Genomic DNA, 23,666 nt, shown 5'->3' with positions numbered 1-23,666 from the left:
GCTAACCCCAGCTTCTCTAGGCATCAGCATAGGTGTTCTTTAGTGACAACCATGTCCCACCTCTCCATGGTGCTGGGTGGGGTGCCCCTCTGATGAGAGGCTTGGTGGCACCTTCCACATGCCTACGTGGTAAACCTTCTCATATTGAACTGTGCATGCTTACTTCCCGCCGTCTCTTTGGTACTTGATTGCTAGCTCCTGGAAGGCTCAATTGCCTAGCACGGTGCCTGCTATGGGATGGGTGATGAATAAAGTGTGGTATTTATGAACACAGACCTGGGAACCAGACTAGATGATCGGGGTGTGAAGCCTGCTTTCATATAGAGTGTCACTTTGGACAAGTTCATCTTCTTGTGCTTCAGTATCCTCTTCTTTTTTTTTTTTTTTTTTTTGAGATGGAGTCTTGCTCTGTCACCCAGGCTGGAGTGCAGTGGCGTGATCTCAGCTTACTGCAAACTCCGCCTCCCGGGTTCACGCCATTCTCCTGCCTCAGCCTCCCGAGTAGCTGGGACTACAGGCACCCGCCACCACGCCTGGCTAATTTTTCGTATTTTTAGTAGAGACAGGGTTTCACCGTGTTAGCCAGGATAGTCTCGATCTCCTGACCTCATGATCCACCTGCCTCGGCCTCCCAAAGTGCTGGGATTACAGGCATGAGCCACCGCGCCCAGCCTGTATCCTCCTCTTTAAGTTGGGGAAAATGAGTAGTACCTCTCTCCATCAAAGGGCAGTTGTGAGGATTAAATGAGATAACAATGTGAAGTGCTTATGAAAGATTAGCCATGTGAGTATCATCTGAATGAGTGAACGATGCTGTGTCCATGTTAAGGAGTGTTTGTGTGGCTGCAGTGGATGGTGCCTGAGAGGGAGAAGCAGGATGCTGAAGAGGTTGGTGGGGCCATATTGGGGAGAGGCCTGTGTTATAGTAGATTTGACTTTGCTCCATAGACATTAGGGAGGCAATCAAAATTATTATGATTATGATTAGATCTCTAGTTTAGAAAGGTAACTTTAGTGGAAATGTGATAGCTCACAAGGAACCAGTTTGGAGGCAATAATTATGACAAAGGACAGTGAACAGAGGCAAAAAGCATGGAATCTTTACTTTGCAAAGATTTGTTCTTTGCAAAAAGTTGTCTCTCTCCAAATGCTTTATTTTTATTTCCCTTTTAGTTGCTAGAAAGTGACTCAGTATGTATTAGTGCAATTTCATGCTGCTGATAAAGACATACCTGAGACTGGGCAATTTACAAAAGAAAGAGATTTAATTGGACTTAAAGTTCCACATGGCTGGGGAGGCCTCACAACCCCGGTGGAAGGCAAGGAGGAGCAAGTCACATTTTATGTGGATGGCGGCAGGCAAAGAGAGAGCTTGTGCAGAGAAAATCCCATTTTAAAAATGGTTTTAAAAACCATCAGATCTCTGGCCAGGTGCGGTGGCTTATGCCGAGGTGGGCGGATCACTTTAGGTCAGGAGTTTGAGACCAGCCTGGCCAACATGGTGAAACCCCATCTCTACTAAAAATACAAAAAAATTACTCGGGCTTGATGGCACGTGCCAGTAATCCCAGCCACTCAGGAGACTGAGGCAGGAGAATCACTTGAACCGGGGAGGTGGAGGTTGCAGTGAACTGAGATTGCGCCACTGTACTCCAGCCCAGGCAAAAGAGTGAGACTCCATCTCAAAAAATAAAAAAATAAAACCATCAGATCTTGTGAGACCCATTCACTCGTGACTCAATCATCTCCCACCGGGTCCCTCCCACAACACGTGGGAATTAGAGGAGCCACAAGATGAGAATTGGGTGGGGACATAAAGCCAAACCATATTACAGGGTATTGGATTTTAGTATCAGTTTCTTATCCTTAATTCTCCATTCATGTCTGGCCCAGTGGTTTTCAGCCCTGGCTGCACTTAGAATCAACGGAGAGATTTTTAAAAATTCTGATGCCTGGACTCCACTGCAGAGATTATGATTTAATTGATCTAGGATGAGGCCCATGCATTATGCATTTTTGGTTTGGTTTTAAGCTGTCCAAATTATTCTAAGTCATGTACACCCAGGGCAGAGAAAACTAGATGTTCTGTGTTCTCATGTGTTGATAAATTGCTGCAGGTGTCATGTAGAAGACACTACAGTTACAGACCTGGTGACCAGAACATCTACACTGTGCAAAGGGAGAGAAAGGCCAAACTCTGAAAGGCTCTGTTAAGCTAGTGTTATGTACGTAGAGCCCATGTGTGGAGGTGTGAAACGTGATGGTGGTATAGGGAAAGTGCATTGCGCCAAGGGACGAAAGTGTCTGGCTTTGTCATTGACCAGATCTTTTAGCCTTTCATCCTGTTTCCTCATCTGTAAATTGAGGGGATTGGACTAAATAATCTCCAGTGGCCCTTCCTGCCATGCAGTTTAATGTCTTGTTAACATGTCTAGGTCTCTATTTTAGAATGTTTTTAAAGCATAGCATTTATAAAATTGGAAAATGTAGAAAAGTATAAAAAAGAAAACAAAAGCTACATGTAATCCCAGAAGATTAAGTGTTTATCTGAATGTTTTAATGTACAACATTCTGCTATAATTGGATACTTGTGTTCTTAGGAAATCTCATGGTATAAAAATCTCCATTGTCAAAACAAACATTTCAGTGGGAAAAGGGGCCATGGACTGTACTCATGATAAATAAATAATTTTTCTTGTAGGAATTTTAATCATAATTGCTCTTGTAAAACAGACACACAAAGACTGCTCTCCTACCACACATCTACACAGAGTACACACACGAGCATCATAGAACCTTAACTTCCTTGAGCAAATCCAGGCTGGATGGACGATATCGAGCTTTTTCTCAGGAATGTAGACTTCATTTTAATTTCTTTATGAGCACCAAAACTTTTTAGCTTCTTGTATATTCTTAATAACATTATCCCTAATTTTTTTTTCCTGAGGAACAAAGCAAATACCACTCAAAAGAAGCAGCCATAATGCAAGCAAAATAATTTTTCCCCTAAATGCTAATTCTAAATCTCTTTGTAAGTACAGTCATGCATCGGGGGGATACCTTCTGAGAAACAGGTCATTAGGTGATTTGATCGTTGGGTGAACATCATAGTATGTACTTACACAAACCTAGGTGGTCCAGCCTACCACACACCTAAGCTACATGGTATAGCTGATTGCTCCTAGACTACAAACCTGTATAGCATGTTACTGTACTGAATACTGCAGGCAGTTGGAACACAGTGGAACACAATGGTAAGTATTTGTATTAACTTAAACATATCTAAACATGGAAATGGTATAGTAAAAATATGGTATTATAATCTTATGGGGCAACCATTATATATGCAGTTTGTTGTTGACCAAAATGTCTTTATGTGGCATATGACTATAAATTGGTCATATTTTATCCAATTGGGGTTATAAAAACTCATTTGTGAGAGTTCTCTACTTGTCTACATAATTGGCATAATTGGACGTATATAGTCTCTATCCTGGGAGCATTTATTTTGCGGCCCTGGTTTGAATTCTGTCTCCCCAACGCATAAGCTGTGTGACCTTGAGCAAATTACTTAACTTCAGTTTCCTTGTAAGTAATGTGGGGATAACCATAGTACCTATGGCATAGAGCTGTAATAATGGTTAAATGAGATAAGACTTGCCCAATGCTTAGAACAGTGCCTGGTAATAAATGGTAGCCATTTTCAGCATCAGCATTTCATGAGCCTTTTCCCATGTTGCTAAAAAAATGCTCTGAAACATTTTTTATGGCTGTATAATATTCTATCCCAGGACATACTATCATGTTAACTATTTTTCTATTACTAGACAGTCATACTGTTTCCAGATTTTTTGTATAAAACGTGAGTTAAATTCTAGGACAGGATATCTGTGGAGCTTTTTCGTTTCATTTGGCCACATTATAGAAAATATAATAGCATGAATTTTTCATTTAGAAAGTTTGAGGCATGATCTTAATTACTTTTTTTTTTCCCAAGATAGAGTCTTGCTCTGTTGCCCAGGCTGTAGTGCAGTGGCGCGATCTCAGCTCACTGCAACCTCTGCCTCCTAGGTTCAAGCGATTCTCCTGCCTTAGCCTCCTGAGTAGTTGGGATTACAGGCGCGTACCATGCCCGGCTAATTTTTGTATTTTTAGTAAAGACGGGGTTTCACCGTGTTGGCCAGGCTGATCTCAAACTCCTGACCTCAGGTGATCCGCCCACTCTGGCTTCCCAAAGTGCTGGGATTACAGGCATGAGCCACCACACCCGGCCTTAATTACTTTGAAAATGCACTTAAATCCTCATTCTGTTTTTGTGTTGGAGTCAGTTATATAAGGCCTCATGGTTCCTCCCTCTAGAAGGCTGGATGGAACTTTTAGGACAAGATGCAGAAAGATACAAAGAAACAAAAAGGCTCTTGTGGGACAAAGCTTCTAAATGCAGAAGGAAGGAGAGAATCTCACTCACCAGTGCTACATATGAGCCCCATTGGGAAACATGGCCCCTCAGGTTGGTGGCTGGGGATTCTGAAATTGGCTTAAGCAACATTGGTTTGAGGTTGATTGTCCTTGGCCAGCTGTGCTGATAGTGATGGTATTCTCCCTCCTGCTTCCTCTTCCCTCCGCCCCCACCCCCCACCCAGGTCACCACCTATTTGCACAAGGACTACAACAACCTGTGGATTATCAAGAAACATAACACAAACTCAGGTAATGTGGTCAGAGACTGATGCTTCTTGTGCTGTTACTCCCTCTGAGCCCTCCTTAAGATTTCTCATGCCTGCAAAAGAATGATCCTGAGATGGGCTTTGCTGAGCATCTTTGACACCTTTACTTATCTCAATTATCCTTTCAATTATTATTTATTAAGCACCTACTGTGTTCCAAGCACTGTTGTTGGCATAGGGGATAAGCATTGAGCAAAACAGGTAAGAACTTGCTCTTAGAGCTGTCATTTTGAAGACAGATAGCGGAGCCCAGATTTAATCTAAGTAGAGGTTACTTGAGCATGCCACTAGGGGCTGGTGAGTGGCCCCAGCTGAGGGCACCTGGCTGCTGCTCTCATTTCTTACATAGAGCACACCAAACATTGCACACTCTAGCATGTGGTGCAGCTTAAGTCGTCTTGATAAGATAGAATCCTGCCCACTGCTCAGCCCTGGCCTGAGTCAGTCAGTTGATCTGAGGGGCTACTAGTCCTGTGACTGGAATTTGTCTAGGCTAATTCCTGAGATGTGACTCGATGCCTGCTGATCTGCTTCTAACTGGCCTGGGTGAAGGCGCTCTGAAGCACACCTATCAGGCTCTCAGGGCTTTATGACAGAGCAAGAGCTAGAGCCAGATCTTCCTTTCTTTGGTCAGACAGCTAGCTACCTGCAGGCTGTGCCTCTGCTGCAGCTAAGAGAACAGAGGGCATCTTCCACTCACCTTCCGAGCCTGTCATCTCTGCTGACAGTCCTGTGCCACAGGTATCTCTGTGACTCCTCAGCAAATCCCACCTGGCTTAGCCTATCCCAGCTCAGCTGCTCCTAGGCCTTTGTAGAGAAATGGGCAGCTGCTCACCTAAATCCACCTCCTCTTATTGCTGTGTAGGCTAGAAACGTGGCGTATACAACCACTTTCTACATCCTGCTCCTTAGTGGGATAAATTACGACACCATTGGGCAGAGTCTGTTTCTATACTTTTATAATGGATATTGATTGATTCAGCAGGCCAAACGTGAGTGTTCTATCACAGTGAGGAGTTACGAGGGAAGACCAGTTTTACTTCCGTCATGTGGTCATGAACCAAGTCTTTGAACATTCCTAGTCTGTTATTCCATTGTGACTTCTGAGTTAAGATGGTTGCATTTCATCGAAGTGATTAAGGATTTTGTGGGAGCTTTATAGACTAGGGTCTTTGTGTTCTTGAAGGCTATAAATGCCCCTCCCCACCAAATGCATATGAAATAAAACCTCCCTCCCTATTGACTTAGTTGATTTGTCATCTTGCTAATTAATGCTTTTAAGAGACCCTAACAGGCAGCATGGAAATGGGTGTCTCTGCGGTTGAGTTCTCTGATTCTCTTGAGAGCCAGTGATTTGCACTGGCAAATTTATCTTTCCTGACCTTGATCAATTTATAGTGTGTTGGTATCTCACTGTTTGGGACAGAAATTTGCAAGGATCCATTCTGTGTTGCTATGATTACTGCCAGCTCCTTTTCCATGTCATCACCTTTCTAGATCCTGATTGGTCTTGATTTTGAGATGATACAGAAGTAGTCCTTTAATCATTTCATCATTATTCACCTCACATTTAGCAAGTTTATTGCCAGAGACAAGATACTCGCTGGCAAGATTGTCAGGGTTTATTTGATTTTGAGGAGAGTTGGGCAAGTGGTCATTTGTATGGAATTACTTTTTAGAAGGCTGTTATTACTACTAAAGTCTTACTATTTAGCTTCCCAGCTTAAGCTCCAGTGGGGGCTTCAGTGCCTCATCGGGTAAAGGCCACATTCCAGCCTGGAATATGCAGTCTGGCCACACTCGTTCATAGCCTCATCTGTTCCCACTCTCCCCCACCCCACCCACCCTTACAGTATGAAACCCATTTGCTATTCATCGAAGGAGTTTTTCTTCTTCTTTTTTTTTGGAGACAGAGTCTTGCTCTGTCACCCAGGCTGGAATGCAGTGGCGCAATCTCGGCTTACTGCAACCTCCGCCTCCCGGGTTCAAGCGATTCTCCTGCCTCAGCCTCTCGAGTAGCTGGGACTACAGGCGTGCACCACCACGCCCGGCTATTATTTGTATTTTTAGTAGAGATGGGGTTTCACCATGTTGGCCAGGCTTGTCTCGAATTCCTGGCCTCAGGTGTTCTGCCCGCCTCGGTCTCCCAAAGGGCTAGGATTACAGGCGTGAGCCACTGTGCCCGGCCAGAAGTTTTCTTCTTTCACACTTCTAGTGCCTTTCTCCTGCTTGTTCACCTGACAAAATTCTCCCTTTCCCTTAAGAGTCTTTTCGAGCATTATCTCTGGGACACCCTTCTCTAATACCCTGAAGCAATTTAGGGGTCTTTCCTCTTTGGTCTCAGAGTACCTGGTTAGTACCTCTAGCAGATACCACATGGTACTATAACTGTTTACCAGTAGGCCCTTGATTAATACTAGCCTGGTGAGTGATTTTGGATATCAATGCTTGTTTCTTTTTGGCAGATCCCCTAGACCCTTCCTTCCCAGTGGAGTTTGTAAGACATGGAGACATTATTCGACTAGAACACAAAGAGTAAGTCAATTTGCAGTTTGGATAAATAAATGGTACGGGCACCAAGGGGAGGGAGTTATTTTAAGAAGTAAACAGAAGTTAGATTTTGATGAGGCTCTGGTCAATGGAGCAAGGCCACAGTGCGAGAATGGGAGAAGCATTTTATGAAGGTGATGAAATTGCAGGCCAGCCTTTGCCTGCCTTCTGGGGACCTTTCAATTTCCCATTTCCTAGAGGAAAATTTGAGTTGCTGAAAGCTGCTGCTGCTGTTTTTTTTTGAGACAGAGTCTCACTATGTTACCCAGGCTGGCCTCAGAGTCCTGGGCTCAAGCGATCCTCCCGCTTCAGCCTCCCAAATGGTTGCTATTACAGGCATGAGCCATCACACCCAGCTCCCAAAGCTTCTTCTTAAGTGGCTGCCTTTAGAAAGACGTAGGAGTCTGTTTCTGAGAATATGGCAAGCTAGCTTATTTAACCAGTGTTCTCACTGAAAATGACTAAAAATGCTGGAATAATATAAAGACTTCTTAAGAGCATAAAAAGGCTGACAAGATATTAAAGAGTTACCAGGCCAAAGCCTAAGTGAAATGAGGAATCCAGAGAAATAAGTGAGACACTGAAGCCACTTTTGCTTTGATCCCACAATCTTGACTTTTGGCTGTCTCTTGAGAGAAGAGGTTTTAAAGTCAAACCTAGGCTCACCCAAAGTGGTAAATTTATTAAGTTATCCTTCCCCATATTTGGAACCCCCAAAGGCTTGGGGTAAGGGTAAATCTGCCCTATCCACTTATGCCCAGGTCCACTTTAGGACCCAGCTAAGTGTTGGGGGTTGGGTGGTGAACTGTCCTTAGTTCCTGAGAAGTTGGAACTACCATTTGATCCTCACATGAACTTGGAGCTCAAATTCATGTTGCCTGGGTGATCTCAGAATCTCCAAGACATGAATTTAAATGAACATGATCCTAGATTGGTCGTGTCTCCTAGGTGCATGGCTAAAAGCAAATGTAAGCCCTCTTTGGGGAAAGTCGTTGTCATTTGTTCCCATAGTTTTTTAGTGACAATAGTACACACCCAAAAGTAACAAAGCACACAAGGAAATAGGGCACTGTGTGCAAGAACAAGCTGAAACGACAGACAGCAGGAGCAGCCCCGTAAACATTTCATAGACTGGAATTATCGGATACAAATTTTTAAAAATCAGAGGTGTGTATGTGTGTGGGTATATATATATATATATAGAGAGAGAGAGAGAGAGAGAGAGAGACAGAGACAGAGAGAGAAGCAATTAGCTATGGTTTTTTTTTGAGTCAGCTGGATTTTGAATACTTAAAATTTTTATTTTATTAAATAAATTTCATTTGTCATTAATAAAAATTTATTGTAATTAAATTTTACTTTTGCAAATTTTCAGAAATTTTATAATGAACATTTATTATTTGTTCCAGATAAAAGTGAGAGTTGTTATATAAAACTAAATAAAAGCTAAATTAAACCCCTCTCATCCTCCACAGATGTCCACTTAAAAAAATCTGGCGATGGGAGCAGAAAGAGTAAGTGGCAGTGAGGAGGTTACCTAGCTCAGGCCATGCAGATTACAAGTTTTAATTTTTCCTCTCCTCAAACCTGCCTCCTAAGTCAGGCAAGCTAAGTGCTTCAAAGCTACTAAATGTGTGAAAGTCGCCCCCCACCTCCCTGCCAGCACCTAAAGTTAGCCCCTTTCTTGGCATGCCGTCCAGTGCTCCTACCATCTGTCTCTCCTGGTTTGGGCTCATCTCTTCTCCAGTTCTCAGGATATTTCTTGTGAGTAAATAGGAAACCAGTTCCTGATATGTTGGATTTAATAGTTCAGATTCTAATTTTTCTTATCCTGACAGTTGACTCTGAACATCCTTGGTAAAAGAAGAAATGTTGCACATCATCTTTCTATAGGATAATGACACTTCTCTTTTCTAACTTCTAGAACTTCCCGGAACTTGCACAGTCACTATCATGAGGCCCCCATGACCCGGAAGCACTATCAGGTCACCGGCTATGGCATAGTAAGTAAGCAACGGGGATGTGAGTAGGACGTAAAAGTTATGGGCCTTGGCTCAGGGCTGTGTGGTGGGATATCTCCTCCCCAGAATTCTGGAATGTTCCTGAGGATAAGAGGCTGCACAGGGACTCTCTTAACATTTGGGCACTTTTTGGCTAGGCCTGCTCTGGGAAAAGCAGCCTATGAAGTCTGTTTGTCTCCATCTCTCTCCTCACATAATAACCATGCCATTTACATGCTCTGATACTTAATAAATGTCAAATATGAATACTATTTGGATCTCTTTTAAAATCACATTGGACATAGAAGCCAAGGACCCACAATATGACCCCAGATGAACAACATGTATGTTTATCTTTTGCCAGATCCCAAATTCTCATTAGCTTTATTTTTAAGTATCATTTCCCTGTTCTGCAGAGGGATATTATCCATAGCTTTTGTATTTTACTACCTCAAGGAGATGCAGCTAATAAATAAAAGCTCTATGAGTACTTATGGCTTTGGGAGTAACTGAAGACAAAAACTACTAGTGGAAAACTGTATACAGATTCTGGCCTTCAGGTGGATTTCCCAGCCCTCTTTCTGTTTGCTCATTCCACATTGTGCTAGGTCAAGACTGTGAACATTCTAATCTTCTTTGTGGGCATCTTCTGAGAAGAATTAGACATACATGTCTTAATTTCCAAAGTGCAATAGCCAGGCCAGACCTTTCTGGCTTAGATGAGTGAATACCTAGATAGCCAAGGTAATGGATGCAAATGGCCCAGATCTGTTTCTGTTGGCTCAGAGTGATGTCTTGAGTTTGGTTGAAGGGCAAAGACAGGTATTTAGAACTTGAACTCTAGTTCTATGAAGTGAAGAGTTGGACTCCTGGACTTCTGGTTCCAGGAGTCATACTACTGTTTTTTGGTTGTAATAGTGAGTTTTGGGACAATGCCAATCACCTGGGATATTTCTTTGGCCTTCTTGTAACCTTGCCCATCTCTATCATTGAGCCTAATTTGGTCTTTGACCTTCATAACATGGTGGCATCTGGGTGGCCATTTCCCTTTCTGACACGTTTTCTCTAAAGTCCCCTCACTTTCTTTGTATTTTTTTCTTGGCTTTTATGGCAGAATGGAACAGGGGACTCAAATGATTTCTGGCGGATTGAGGTCGTAAACAGGAAATTTGGAAACCGGATCAAAGTGCTGAGAAGTCGAATTCGCTTCATCCATTTGGTCACAGGTTGTGTCCTGGGCTCCTCGGGAAAGGTTCTGCCCAAGTGGTAAGTCTCTAGGGTTTTGCTGTCCCAATCGAGGGTCCTGATTTTCCTTTCACTCTACAAGGAGTATGCCAGAAGCTTTTGTTTTCCTGTGTTCACCTGCTGTCTGCTTGTTCTTAGTGGCAGATGGAGGGAGAGTAGATATCAGGTGTATTATGGAGCACAGAACTCCGGGGGAGCTTCGGTGTTTTATGTGTTCTGATAGTTCAACATTTTCACATCTGGCTGGTGCTAATAACTCTCTGGGTCTATGTCTTTTTCTAAAATGGGAATACTGTATGCTAGACTATCCTAGGATAGTTGTCCAACATGGAACATGAAGAAATAATGGCCACCATGTGGAAAAGAGAAGGAGCCTGTGGATTTAAGAGCAGAAGACAGTGTCACTCTCTGGTGGATTTCACGTCTTCTGAGAGACATCTGTGACTTCTGCTTTTCACAGGGGCTGGGAGCAGTTGGAAGTTACTTGCACCCCATACCTGAAAGAAACCCTCAACTCCATCTGGAATGTGGAGGACCATATCAATCCCAAGTGTGAGTGAGGTCACTTTCTGGGCTGGCTCTGGAGGGAAGCATTTATAAGAAACCCTTATCTTAGAAAAGTAAGCGTTTGTAAACTGTGCTATCCCTTCAACTTGCTGCTGTTTGTTCCTTGTTAACACTCTCTTTCTATGAGTTGTCTGTACCTACATAGCATACTCCTTTTCCTTCTCATCCACTCCCTCCGTAAACTCCTCTCCCTAAAGTGGCCAGTGGCCATCTGCAGATCCATCTGTCTCGTCTTCCTCTGGGCTCCTCTCTCCCCTGCACCATGGGCACCTCCCCAGCCTCCAGGCTTGGAGCAAGCTGCTACTTTCCCTTTATGCCTCAGTGTAGAGTCGCTCCCCCGCCCCCCCACATATCCAGCCAATGCTTTTATAGAAAGTGACTGCCACAGCCCTGATCTGTGCCCCACATCTCTACACCCAAGCTCCAATTTGATATTTCCACTGCGTTGTCAGCTTCAACTCAATAAGTATTTGGATTCATCATCTGTTTTCCTAAACTACCCACCTCAAGCTTATGTGTGCCTTCATTTTGTTCTTCTTCCCACCTAATCTAGCCAAACCCACTAATCAACTAATTCAACAACTCTTTATCAAGTATGCCAGGAACCACATGGGGCCCTGTGGACATATTGGCGAGGAGACAGACTTGGTCCCCATCCCGACAGCAGCTGCTCCAGGCGTCCAGAATGATTTATTCCTCATTCCCAGGCCCTTCAAAGGGCCACAGTGACTCGGGGGCTGTGCAGCTGTCCCTTATGCCTAATAGGAGAGCAGCATTTGAGCCAGTACCACAGTGAAAAGCAATGGTGCTGGGAGCTGTTGGAGCACCAAGCAGGTGAAACCTTGTTGTCTATTTCCTTTGCATTTCTTAGAATGCCTGATGAGTTCTTCATACAGCTAAGTAAATGATCAAGAATTGGGCCAAGCTTTCTTCTGTCTCCTCAACAGTTGTGAACTTGTCAGCAAGGCTGCATTTGGATTCTGGTGGGAATGTGGACACCATGGACAGACTGAGGAAAGAATGTATGACAAAGGCTTTTCTCCTGCATTTTTTTCCCCTAGTGCCAAACATCAGCCTGGATGTGCTACAGCCCAGTTTTCCTGAGATCTTGCTGGAATCCCACATGGTCATGATCCGGGTATGTGTCCCCTTCTCATTTCATGGCGTCTCTAAGAGCTTTTGGGCAGCCATGAATTTGGATCACAAGTCAATGCCATGCTACAGATCCATTCCCCCTTGTGGAGGAATTTGAAAGCATCTTTACTACGGTTTTCTGTGATCCTCAAAGGCATTTCCCTCACCACAGAATGAGGATGGTGGTGATGATGGTGATACCAGTGACTGCTTGTACAGCTCATGTGCCAGGCACTACGCTAAGCACTATACTCATCTGATACTTATTACAATCATATGGAGGTTGCCATCATTCCCAGTTACAGGAGAGGGAACTGACATACAAAGAGGTCAGGGAACTTGCCCAGGGTCACACAGCTAAGTGTAAGAGGTAGATCCAGCCCTCAGAGCCAGGCTGGTAGGCTTTTAGAGTTACTGCTAGTTACCACTACACTCCTTCACCTCTAAGTGATTTGTGAATCTGCCCAAGTGGCAGAGCCCCTGAAAATCATAGTGCTCTTGGTTGAAGATCATGAGATACTGATAGTTCATTCCATCATATGAAATCAGGATCAGTTAGGATGGATAGCTAATTTGAGTGTGTTGTTTATATGCAGCATGAAATCCCAGCCACGAGCCCACTCATATTCCTGGACAGAAACTGCTTAGGCAGGGCATGATTGATTCTTTTTAAGGTTTTCTAAGACATTGTTTGCACTCTCTATCATTAGTAGCTGACAGCAGTTGTAGCATCAAAGGTTTAAGAAAAATTCAGAGAAGAAATCTTTAAATTGAGAAAATTCTACTCACTAGCTTAAATTTTCCCCTGCTGTAGTCCTGCTGTTTAGTGGAAGACCCCCTTATTCTGGCTTATGGAAAACCTGTGTTCTGCAGGAATAATGTTTAAGAATCACTATCTCAAGCCAGATATGTGATTATCACTCTACCCACAGCATTGCAGGGAGGTGTAGCACTTGTTATTTTTCCCCTGGTAAGCCATTGTCAAGTGGACTTCCCTGGAAGTGATTATGTAAGCAGTACTCAGTACATATAGTTGACTTATTTCACCAGATTAAATTTTAAAAATTCAAATTTTGTCATTTTTGCGCATTGGGAGGTGATAAGTTGACATTAAGCATCTCTGGGTCACTTCCTTTCTGACTCTCTGCTTGTAGCTGTCACTGTGGCCTGATGACATAGCTCTTTTGAACATGTGCCTGTCAGTCAGAATATCATTCTGGGCCTGGGTCAAATTTTAAGACTAAATCTACGAGTTTCATTTTGTCTTTCATTATCTAAGAAGTAGAGTCAGAGAAGAAAAGGGAAGTAATGAGAGCTTTCTTATTCAGCCAACAAAGAGTCAGGGAGGGGAGAGAGATGAAAACAGTGAGTCCAGACTATAGAAACTGCAGGGGCAGGGCTCTTCCGCTGGCTGAGTAGTGGCCCGGGACCTGGAGGAGAAGGCTGCCTTGCCTGGTGCAGTTACAGGAATGAGCCCATCCAGATTTCAGCCATAGAGAACAACTTACAAGTACATATGCCTGTGATGGTTGCAGATTTTTCTTTCCTCTTTTAGTTTAGCAACAGAGCAGGATTTCTCAGAGTTTAATGTAGTGAATAAGATTCCCTTGGCTTGGTACAGTTCTGGCTGGAGTCCTTGGGTTTGGGACCAAACTGTACAATTTGAAGGAATTGGTTTCCCTCAGCAACTGCCGCAGGGGTCCAGAATGATTCATTCCTCATTCCCAGGTCCTTCAAAGGGCCGCAGTGACGCTGGGGCCGTGCAGCTGTCCCCTTTGTGTCTGATGCCCTGGATGCACTTTTGACCTTGGAGGCACAACCTCTCCACCATGTAGAGGCCTGTAAACTATTCCCAGCCCCTTGCTGAACTGGATTCATAAGGCACTGGGTGGCAGTCCACTGAACTTTCTGGGTCTTTCTTAGGCTATACCAGTGGTTCTTAATTGAGGGTGATTTTGCCTCTCGGGACTTTTGGCCATCTGTGGAGAAATTTTTGGCTGGGAAACTGAGGGGTTGAGGGTAGGAGTGCTACGGGCATTCAGTGAGTGGAGGCCAGGAATGCTAAACACTCTGCAATGCACGGGACAGTCCTCACAGCAAAGACTCATCCAGCCCGAAATGTTGGGAGTGCTGAGGTGGAGAAGCTCCGGCCTAAGTCATGGCAGCTGACTCCCCTTCTGGGGAAATGCCTTTTCAGTCTGTCCCAGTGATAAGGCAGAACCCAGTCCTAGTGGTTAATATCCTGGATCCTGACCCTACTCCTTCCTGTTTTAGCAAAGACCTGGTTTGCCCTGTAGAGAAAGGTTAGCAGATGTTCTTGGCTGCTGGATTAGGGAGGCTGAGTCTGGGTCCTTCAAACCAAAGCATGCATTAGGGTTGATTTCTCTCCCAATAGATGAAATGTGTTCTTGGAGGGCAAAATATCTAATTTTTTATGTATAAAGCACAAGTAAGATGTACAGTATAAAGTATTAAAATGTCATGGAGTGTGTTTAGGGAGAAACTTGTCTACAAAGGCTCCTGGTAGAGGGGCAGTAGTGGAAAAAAAAGGTGGAGAAGCACTAAGCTAAAGCAACCTCTTCCAAGTCTAGGCACGCATGAGAGTTTCTGCTTTTCTGTTTGAAATTGGCCCCTGAAGGGAACAAATAAGTAAGCCTTATTATTTATTTATTTATTTATTTATTTATTTATTTATTTATTTATTTTGAGACTGAGTCTTGGTCTTTTTGCCTAGGTTGGAGTGCAATGGCATGATCTCAGCTCACTGCAACCTCCGCCTCTTGGGTTCAAGTGGTTCTCCTGCCTCAGCCTCCCAAGTGGCTGGGATTACAGGCACCCACCGCTACGCTCAGCTAATTTTTTGTATTTTTTAGTAAAGACGGGGTTTTACCATGTTGGCCAGGCTGGTCTTGAACTCCTGACCTCAGGTGATCCACCCGCCTCGGCCTCCCAAAGTGCTGGGGTTACAGGCATGAGCCACTGCACCCGGCTGTAAGCCTCATTTTATATCCCCTCTCTCCCACCATTTTCACACCTTGTCCTTAGCTTGGCAGATGGGTATATATTTTGTGCCCATTGGAACAATTTCCTCTTTCCCTTCTTTTTCCCTAGAAGGTTGGAATGGACCCCTTATGGGAGATGGAGGCTTGTCTGGGAGAAGTAAAGCAAGTGTCGTAGGTAGGCAGACAGCAGCTGCCTGATTCTTCCCTGCAAGGGAAGGGAAGGAGAGAAGGTTCTGCTCGGCGCTTGGCCCTATATCAGAAAAACCTGGGCCCCACATTTCTGTCAGCCCTCTAGATCTCTGTCTTGACTAGCTTTCTTTGCTACCTTCATGCAGGGGAACAGTGGCCTCAAACCCAAGGACAATGAGTTCACGTCCAAACCCTGGCACTGGCCTATCAACTATCAGGTAGGATCCAAGGCTGGGGCTCCTCCCAGGAAATGGAGCCAAGAACAAGAGCAGGGAGACCGGTGGAGGCGGGGGTGGGTGTACTAGGGCGGCAGGGCGAGGGGCCTCCTGGGATGGGTTGGCCAGAGGTGGGAGTATCTGTTTTCTGCCCTAATTCTGACCCTGCTTCCCAGAGAGCTCGTGTAGAATTTGCCAGCCTGAGGTTCGTGTCCAGGCTCCCTGTCTGTGGAAGGTGACCATCTTCCTCCCCCTAATGGGTGTGGCCGAGGATGGGCTGGGCCTGGGTCAGCAGGGTGGTCTCTATTCCACAGGGCCTACGCTTCTCAGGGGTCAATGACACAGATTTCCGAGTCTATCTGCTTGGCAACCCGGTGAGTGCCTAAACATTCCCGGCTCAGGCCCTGGAGCACTTGCCCGTGGAGAGCGGCTGCGTTCTCATCTGCCCATTCCCATTTCTGCACAGGTGGTTTGGTGGCTGAATCTGTTGAGCATCGCCCTCTACCTCCTCTCAGGGAGCATCATTGCTGTAGCCATGCAGAGAGGGGCACGGCTGCCAGCGGAGGTTGCAGGTCAGGTCCTCTGGGCTCTCCCTCCCCTGACCTGGCGGCAGCAGGGCACCTGCACCCCTGGGGAGGGCCGGCTGCCTGCTGATGGGCCATCCTTTGCGTTTACCACCCCACACCTTCCCTTATCCTTTGCTTTTGAAAGGTAACAACCCCCAAGTACCCAGTGCTGTGTTAAACACTTTACTTCCTCCCAACAACACTAGAGCGTTGGCTATTATGACCCCCATTTTATGGATTAGGAAACCAAGGAACCATGAGATTAAGAAACTTGCCCCAGGACATACAGCTAGTAAGTGATAGAGCTGAGGCTCAAACCCGTGCAATCTGACTCCACAGCCCTCACTTTTAGCCCCATGCTGTGTACAGAGCTGCCCATCTTTTCTGCCACCTCCTTGTTCCATGGCCCTGTCCTCTCATGGGCTAGAGAGGAGCCTCCAGGGTTATTGAGTTCCCATCCCAGTGCTGTTCTTGGTAACTTTGGCTGCCAGACCATGGGCCACAGCACCTGAGACAGTCACACAGGCCCTTTTGCCTCTGCAGCTCTCTGTCTGAACAGTCATAGTCCCAGACACCTCCTCACTCCATCCTCACCTGTAACCTCACCTTAGCGCCTGTCTGCCGCTGCAAAGATCTGTGTGGCAGCAAAGATGTGGGAGGTGGAAGTAGGGAGTGAAGCTGTCTGCAGGCGCAGAAGGGTTTCTTTAGAGGCTGGGCTGCCTCCTGCTGGTGCTTGGTGCACCTGCCATTGGTGCCCAGGCCTCACTAGGCTGGGCCCTGACCAGAGCTCTCGAGCCCCAGCTGCTCCTCTCCAGTTTCTGTAGCGTGGTTTGGGTTGGTCCAATGAGGTGATATGACATATTCAAGGTCACACAGCAAGGAAGGGGCAGAGCTGGACCAGAGCCTGGAATCTCTGCCCGCTCCTTGTCTTCTGACTGGGCTGTGCTGCTTGGGCCCAGGGTTGTCCCAGGTCCTGCTTCGAGGAGGCGGCCAGGTCCTGCTCGGCTGGACACTCCATTACTTCCCGTTTTTCCTGATGGGCCGGGTCCTCTACTTCCACCACTACTTCCCAGCCATGCTCTTCTCAAGCATGTTGACAGGTCAGTGCCACCCACCTGGACTTGGGAGACAGAGCAGGTGGAGGGCGGGCCACTGTTGGGCAGCAGTGCTGGGAGTGACTCTGCTCCTTGACGGGAGGCCACTGTGGGGCAGCAGTGCTGGGAGTGACTCTCTGCTCCTTGACTTGGAGTGCCTCCTTCTTCTGTAGCCCAGAAGTCACCCCCTGCCTGGCTGACTCCAGGTTTCTCTCCTCTCCTCTAGGCATTCTGTGGGACACCCTCCTGCGGCTCTGTGCCTGGGGCTTGGCCTCATGGCCCCTGGCGAGGGGCATACATGTGGCGGGAATCCTGAGCCTGCTCCTGGGAACTGCCTACAGGTGAGCATCTCTGCACCTCACATGCCCTCCCAGTGTGGGCTCAGCAGTGCCTCAGCCCTGATGCATTCGAGAATCCCCTGCGGTGCTTTTAACACCACCAGTGCCCATGCCTGGAGGTTCTGCGTCACCCAAGCCCAGGTGGGGCCGTGGTTTCCAGAGTCCCCCAGGTGATCCTAATGTGCAGCCAGGTAGGAGAAGCAGGGCTTAACTCTGCCTTTTCCCCTTCTGCCGGTGGTTCAGCTTTTGTGCCATCCCAGCGCACCTGGAAGGGTACCCCTCTAGTGACAGTGACTCTGTGCCAGAACAGCTCTCAGAGGGGGAGTGTGGGAATGGGGGGCAGGGAACCCCTCTTTAGTCACCATGGCCCCCTGTCAGAACAGCTCTCCGGGTGAGGGAGGGGGGAACCGGGGGGCAATGGGGGACAGGGCACCCCTCTTTAGTCACTGTGGCCCCCTGCCGGAAGAGCTCTCGACGGGTGGGGTGGGAAGGGTGGGAATGGGAAGTGTGTGGCTGAGTGGCTGAAAGGGAGAGTTGTTTGGAAGGCTCCCCGCTTCCCCAGTCCCTGGCCTTGGTGCTGGGCCTGTGGCCTGTGAGCACATGCCTGCCTAAGAGGGTTACATTCACATGTTGACAAACACCCCTGGCCAAATAGCCCATGACAAGACCCCTAGAAGGGTTGCCCTCCTGGGCCTCTTGGGAAGAGCCCTTTCCATGATTGTCATTGAGTCAGCATCTACTAAGCTCTCCAGCTACAGTGTGCCCCAGTGGGACTCAGACAGACAAGGCCGTGAAAGAGAACCGGGCTTGGCGATGGGGAATTTCTCTGGAGCTCCAGCAGGAGGAATGGAATTCAAAGCCCCTCAGCTGAGGCACTGGGGGTGCCAACTGCCTCCTACTGGTTCTCTCTCACAGCTTCTACCTCTTCCACCCTCTGGCTTACGGGATGGTTGGTCCCCTGGCCCAGGACCCCCAAAGTCCAATGGCAGGACTAAGGTGGCTGGACTCATGGGACTTTTGAGGCCACTGCAAAGATTCCAGCCTGGGTCCAGGAACTTCCCAGGAGAGCCAGCTGGGAAGCAGTACTGGACCATCCGGCCATGAGGAAGCTGCCTAAGGAGCCCGAAGAATTCTGCTGCTCACCAGGACCCAGCTCTGGGAGTGCAGCTGGAATGGAACCCAGCATTGGAGAGAGCCGGGAGAGAGCCGCAGCTCCGTCCACAGCACCACGGAGAGGACAGCGCCTCTTGGGCTGCTCCCTCGTGCACAGCGCAGGGGAGGATGGGTGCCAGAGGGTGGGAGTGGGTGCGCGTGTGTGTATGTGAGGGCATGTTGTCCATATCCCTGTGGAATACAGACCGTGTAACTGGACAGCTGAGTGTCATAAACTCTAAAATAGTCCAGGCTATAGTAATATTTTCTGGTATTTTTTTCTGTTGGATTTCTTTGGTTTTGGTTTGTAAGATCCATCAAAAATTCTCAGACCTCTGAGAGGGCCTTGAGGGCAGAGAATACTGACCTCACCTTGGGATGTCACCAAAGGCAGAGCAGATGGGACTGTCAAAGTTGTGCTGCCCTCCCTCCCACAAACAAATGAATCCAGCGTGGAGGAAGGCGCGCCGCCCCGAGCTGGAGGGCCTGGCTCCCACCATGCCCCCCAGTGGCTGCAGGTAGCTGGACTTCCTGCCTGTGACGCACAGAGAGCAGCGGACTCCGGAGCGTCAGCCTGCCTTAGCCCTTGGTTCCTCGTTTTTTGGGATTGTCACACTGTGACACTCGGGAGGAACGATGTCCTATCCTGGGCTGCTCAGTGTTCCCAGGCCCTGTGTGCCAGAGGCCAGGTCTCTCCAAGTGCATCTAGCCTGGCCTGGAGGGCAAGGCAGATGCATTCTCCTGGCTGCTGGGAGAGCCCATGGGAACCTTGCTTAGCGCCCAAGGTAGATGAGAGACAGGGCAGGGAATCTGCGTGGTGCTGGGATGTGGGGACTCTGGCCTCTCCAGACTAATGTTCCTGTCACCTGCTGAGCTTTCCCAGTGTCACTTCTGCAGTCCTCCTCTGCTCACCCCTCCCTCACTCCGTGGGCAATTCCCTTTCTCTCTGTCACTGCTTCAGCAGTGAAGACCCATGGCACCTAGAAATGCATGCCAGCTTCCTGCGTCTACCACTCTGCAGCTCAAACAAGAAGCTCAGAGCTGCCCCTTCCACTTCCTCCCCAAAAGGGATGAAGAAAACCCTGTGGTAGAACCAAACCACCCAAGGCCAGCCCTTAAGCCTGCCTCCACCTTCCTGGTGCATGACAAAATATTTCTTTTGTCTCAGAGGACTTTGATGCTTCAATATTTAATGATGAATCCGCCACACTCCATTTTCCCTCCTCTGAAGCTCCCAACAACTCTGACAGGGTCAGATCTCTTTAAAGCATCTTCAGGAGGCGGTTGCCACGGAGACTGGATATTGGTCCCAGGGACAGGCTGTGCTACCTACTGGGTGGTGGGGAGGGAAGCTTCTGGCCATGCTTGGGCATTCAGACCAACCATCATTAATGTTAATAGAGGAAATGCAGCAACGTCAAAAGCAAGGCAGGTTGGTTAATTAGATCTGGGGCCCGATGACCTCCCTTTCCCACTGCTACAGCCCTTTTGACTTCCCCCAGCAGGAAGCGCTGTCTGTGCGGCTGAGTCTGGGCCACTTGCTTAATTGCATTTCTGGCAGGGAAGGAGAGGAGGGATGGAGAAGCTCTGCTCGCTGCTTCCACCTCACCGTGTGTCCTCCCCTCCCCTCCCTTCCTCTCCTCCCCACAGGCGGAATTGCTTTCTTCTGAGCCGGGTGGGCTCTCCTGCAGGGAGAATGCAGGGGTCTGTGCTTGGCTCTTAGCAAAGCAGGTGGCCCACAGTGACCTCCAGGAGGTGGCTGATTTTCCTTTGTGCCTTCTTATTTCTCAGTAGGAACTTGGAAGGGAAGAGCTCTGAAGGAGCCAGAGGGGCAGCCACCTTGCATGAGGGTGAGGAAGGAGAAGCCCAGCCAGCCTCTACCCATCCCTCCCTCCCAATTAGGCTGCACTGGGGCCGAACGCTTCCCTGGGCTCCCACTGCCTTCTAAGGAGCCAAGGAGAATTCCCTGCCCACTTTCTGTTCCTCCATGCCCAAACTGGCAGATGCTTCTCTGGGAGCAAGGCCACATGGGCTGATGCAGCTTTGAGTGCTCAGGTTCTGTTTTCTGGAAGTTGCTGGAGAAGGGCTGTCAGGGTGCTTCTATGAATATGGGCTTCAGCTGTAGCACTTGGCAGAAACGTGATGTGTCCCACAAACTGCTGGTGGAGGAAGAAGATGTTCGTCAGCCAATTCAACCTCCAGCCAGCTTCTTGAGCCTATTTGGTTTAAAAAAAAAAAGTCTTCTAATCAGAAGCCACTGATTTTATAATAAATAACACTTGTTTTGAATGCCTTGTTGTCCTTGTACTTAATTGAATCCGACTTGCCCTCTGCTCCCAGAAAGGCCTCCCTGAGAAGAATGTTTTGAGTGCAGGAACCACCCCGTGTGTCATGTCTGAGGCTGATCTAATTCCAGCAGAAGACCTGGGCTGGGCAGGTGAGCCTGATTACTCCAGGAGGCATTTGGATCTCCCCATGTGTACAGTTACTTGAGTAATGTTGGTCGTCATTTTGGTATATTTAAACTGATTCCAAAATAAGTAGGAAGCTGGACCTCTGATTTGTCCTCTTTTAACCTGTTCACATGGCATAGAAAGGAGTGCAAGAAGAAGTTGTCCCCTTCCCAGACAGCCGAGTATCCCAGTGCTGTAGCAACTTGCCATTCTGCCTAACAGAGGTCCCCATCTTGACAGGTGTCTCCTGTTATCAGGAGTGATGCTTAGGAGCTGAAGGCAGCAGGAGCTGACCTGAGTGTTGGACAGAGGATGGGGGAGGGGAGTAGCACTGTGCTGTGGAACTGGGGGGCTTCTGGGCTGCCTAGCCACCCTCTGGTAGGGGCTGGTGGGGAGAGAGGGGCATGTGGATCTTCAGGAGGTGGAACATGCCTACGACAGGCAGTTTAGGAAGGGGCCAAGTCACTCTTCCTTGAGTGGCACAGCTTAGTTTACAAAGTCTCAACACATCTCTGACATTTAATCCTCATAAAGGCCCAGTGAAGTCAATGATGTTTTTGTTCCCATTCTACCCATGAGAGATTAAATGACTTGTCTTAAGGTCCCACAACAAGTAAATAGTAGAGCCAGGACTCAGTGCCAAGTTTGGGTTTTTCTGCCTCTCTAGTCTTGTCCTGGGACTAGAGGCACCTTCCCAGAACAGCTGCAGCCCTAGATACCCTGGGGAGAAGGCCTGAGCACTCAGCCCGAGGTCCCTGACGCAGCACCTTCCCGTGGGCCTTCTGCTTAATGCATCAGCAGCCGCTCATCTAGGGCCCAGGTTTTCCTGGCTCCCCCAGGTGCACCCAGATCAGTGTGTGCTGGTAGATGTTTAACAACAGGTGTTCTGGGAGGAAAAACTGGTGTGTATAGCATTTGCCAATTTCCATGGTGTAAATATTCCCAACATGTTCTTTTTTAAGCTACCAACTTGATGTCACTGAATGAGAAGTTGGAAAGAGATGCATACAGTTGGTTCTTGAAAGCCATATGAAAGCTGGCTCCAGCACACCGCTGAACCAGACCCAGTGACCATGGCTTGGTCTGAATTATGGCTGGGGCTCTTGGCCACAGCCCATTAAAGCAAGGGAGGCATGGAGGCCTACAGGATGGGCCAGAGAGACCTGAGGTCAAATCCTGGCCCCACCGCTTATTACCTATGTGAGCTTGGGCTAGTTACTTAACCTCTTTGCCTCCATTTCCTCAGCTGTAAAACGAGGGTATGATAAATAGCACCTACTTCGTAGTTATTGTGAGGATGAAAAGAGGAAATGAAGTAAGGTGCCCGGAACACTGTCTAGACATAAATGCCAGCTCTGTATTATTAATGATACATGAACCTCAATGACCAGCACTGGCTCTGGGACAGTACTTGAATTCTCCTCTAGGTTCTTACCTCCTGGGCGGATGACCCACAGGGAGGAGACTCCTGTGACTTTTACTGAGCCCCTCAAATGTGGGCTTGGACCCTTGGTCTACTGATGGGAATACATCACTCTCATCGCTTAGGCCCATCCAGATTCTCAGGCCTTTCTTGAAGGGAGCAGGGATAGAGTGCACTTACCTTGGCTTATCTTAGCACATATCTCCTGGCTCTAGGAAGACAAAGAGTGAAGCCATGGTTTGAGTACTGACTCTACTTACTAGCTAGGGCCGTTAACTCCCACTACCTCATCAGACTCCAGACCCTGGCCAGAGGAGAGAGGAAGCAAGATGGGTCCTAAGTATAGATTGCTGGCAAGAAGCGTGAGCTGGGTAGAGTGGGGTACCTGAGACCAGCCAGGTGGCCTGCACAGAGCACTGAGCATCTGGGCACTGAATAGTGAAGGTCACCAATGACACGTGTCCTTGCCCTGTGACCTGCTGCACCTGGCTGCAGGTCCACGGGACCCCAAGCTGGAAGTTTAGTCACGTCTTGTTCCTTCAGCCCCAATCACTTTGTGTTCTTGCTTGGAGACCTCTTGGACCCTAGGACACCAGCTTTTCCAGGCTGCCTTATAGCCTTGCTCTCCTGCTCCAGCCCAGAGATTTGTGAGGAAATGGGAAATAGAATAGGGGTTACCACAAACTCCTGAGTCCTTGGAAGAGGGAGAACAGCTAGATGATTTCCTGGGGCATGGCTAGGAGTAGGAAAGAAAAGTTCTGCTGAGGCACTCAGTTCTGATTCAGGGCCAGAAGGAGAAATTTTAAAGACCAGGACTCGCCACTCCATGTCTAGCACAGGGCTGGGCATGGAGCCCCAGCTGTTCATAACCAGGGGCTCAAGAACACCCACCTTCTACCCATGGAACTAAAGGAGGTGGACTAAAAGGTCCCAGAGACCTCACCACCCAACCCCTTTGCTGCACAACTGAGGAAACAGGGCCAGAGAGGCGTGGACAGACAGAGGAGATAG

The 23,666-nt window shown here is 47.7% G+C and overlaps 1 protein-coding gene across 12 annotated transcripts in view; it reads left to right on the top strand.

Moving 5' to 3' along the window:
* The window catches only part of POMT2 (protein O-mannosyltransferase 2), a 45,928-nt gene extending 24,860 nt beyond the window's left edge, over nucleotides 1-21,068 (top strand). For 4 of the 12 annotated variants that reach the window (XM_047431314.1, XM_047431316.1, XM_047431312.1 and 1 more), the window contains 14 exons: nucleotides 4,644-4,710; nucleotides 7,193-7,262; nucleotides 8,753-8,791; nucleotides 9,202-9,280; nucleotides 10,392-10,543; nucleotides 10,983-11,074; nucleotides 12,151-12,227; nucleotides 15,561-15,632; nucleotides 15,944-16,003; nucleotides 16,096-16,340; nucleotides 16,438-16,487; nucleotides 17,155-17,295; nucleotides 17,516-17,630; nucleotides 18,543-21,068. In XM_047431314.1, the coding sequence (XP_047287270.1) occupies nucleotides 4,644-4,710; nucleotides 7,193-7,262; nucleotides 8,753-8,791; nucleotides 9,202-9,280; nucleotides 10,392-10,543; nucleotides 10,983-11,074; nucleotides 12,151-12,227; nucleotides 15,561-15,632; nucleotides 15,944-16,003; nucleotides 16,096-16,340; nucleotides 16,438-16,487; nucleotides 17,155-17,295; nucleotides 17,516-17,630; nucleotides 18,543-18,648 (1,365 nt within the window). In that variant the 3' untranslated portion in view covers nucleotides 18,649-21,068. Of the gene's footprint in view, nucleotides 1-4,643; nucleotides 4,711-7,192; nucleotides 7,263-8,752; nucleotides 8,792-9,201; nucleotides 9,281-10,391; nucleotides 10,544-10,982; nucleotides 11,075-12,150; nucleotides 12,228-15,560; nucleotides 15,633-15,943; nucleotides 16,004-16,095; nucleotides 16,341-16,437; nucleotides 16,488-17,154; nucleotides 17,296-17,515; nucleotides 17,631-18,542 lie in introns of those variants that run through there. The other 8 variants (XM_011536677.4, XM_011536675.3, XM_047431319.1 and 5 more) reach the window with 4 other exon arrangements.

This window comes from Homo sapiens, chromosome 14 (genome assembly GCF_000001405.40).
Source record: "Homo sapiens chromosome 14, GRCh38.p14 Primary Assembly".
NCBI classification, from domain to species: Eukaryota; Metazoa; Chordata; class Mammalia; order Primates; family Hominidae; genus Homo; species Homo sapiens.
Note: the sequence above shows the minus strand (reverse complement) of the source record. Positions and strands in the feature narration are given on the sequence as shown.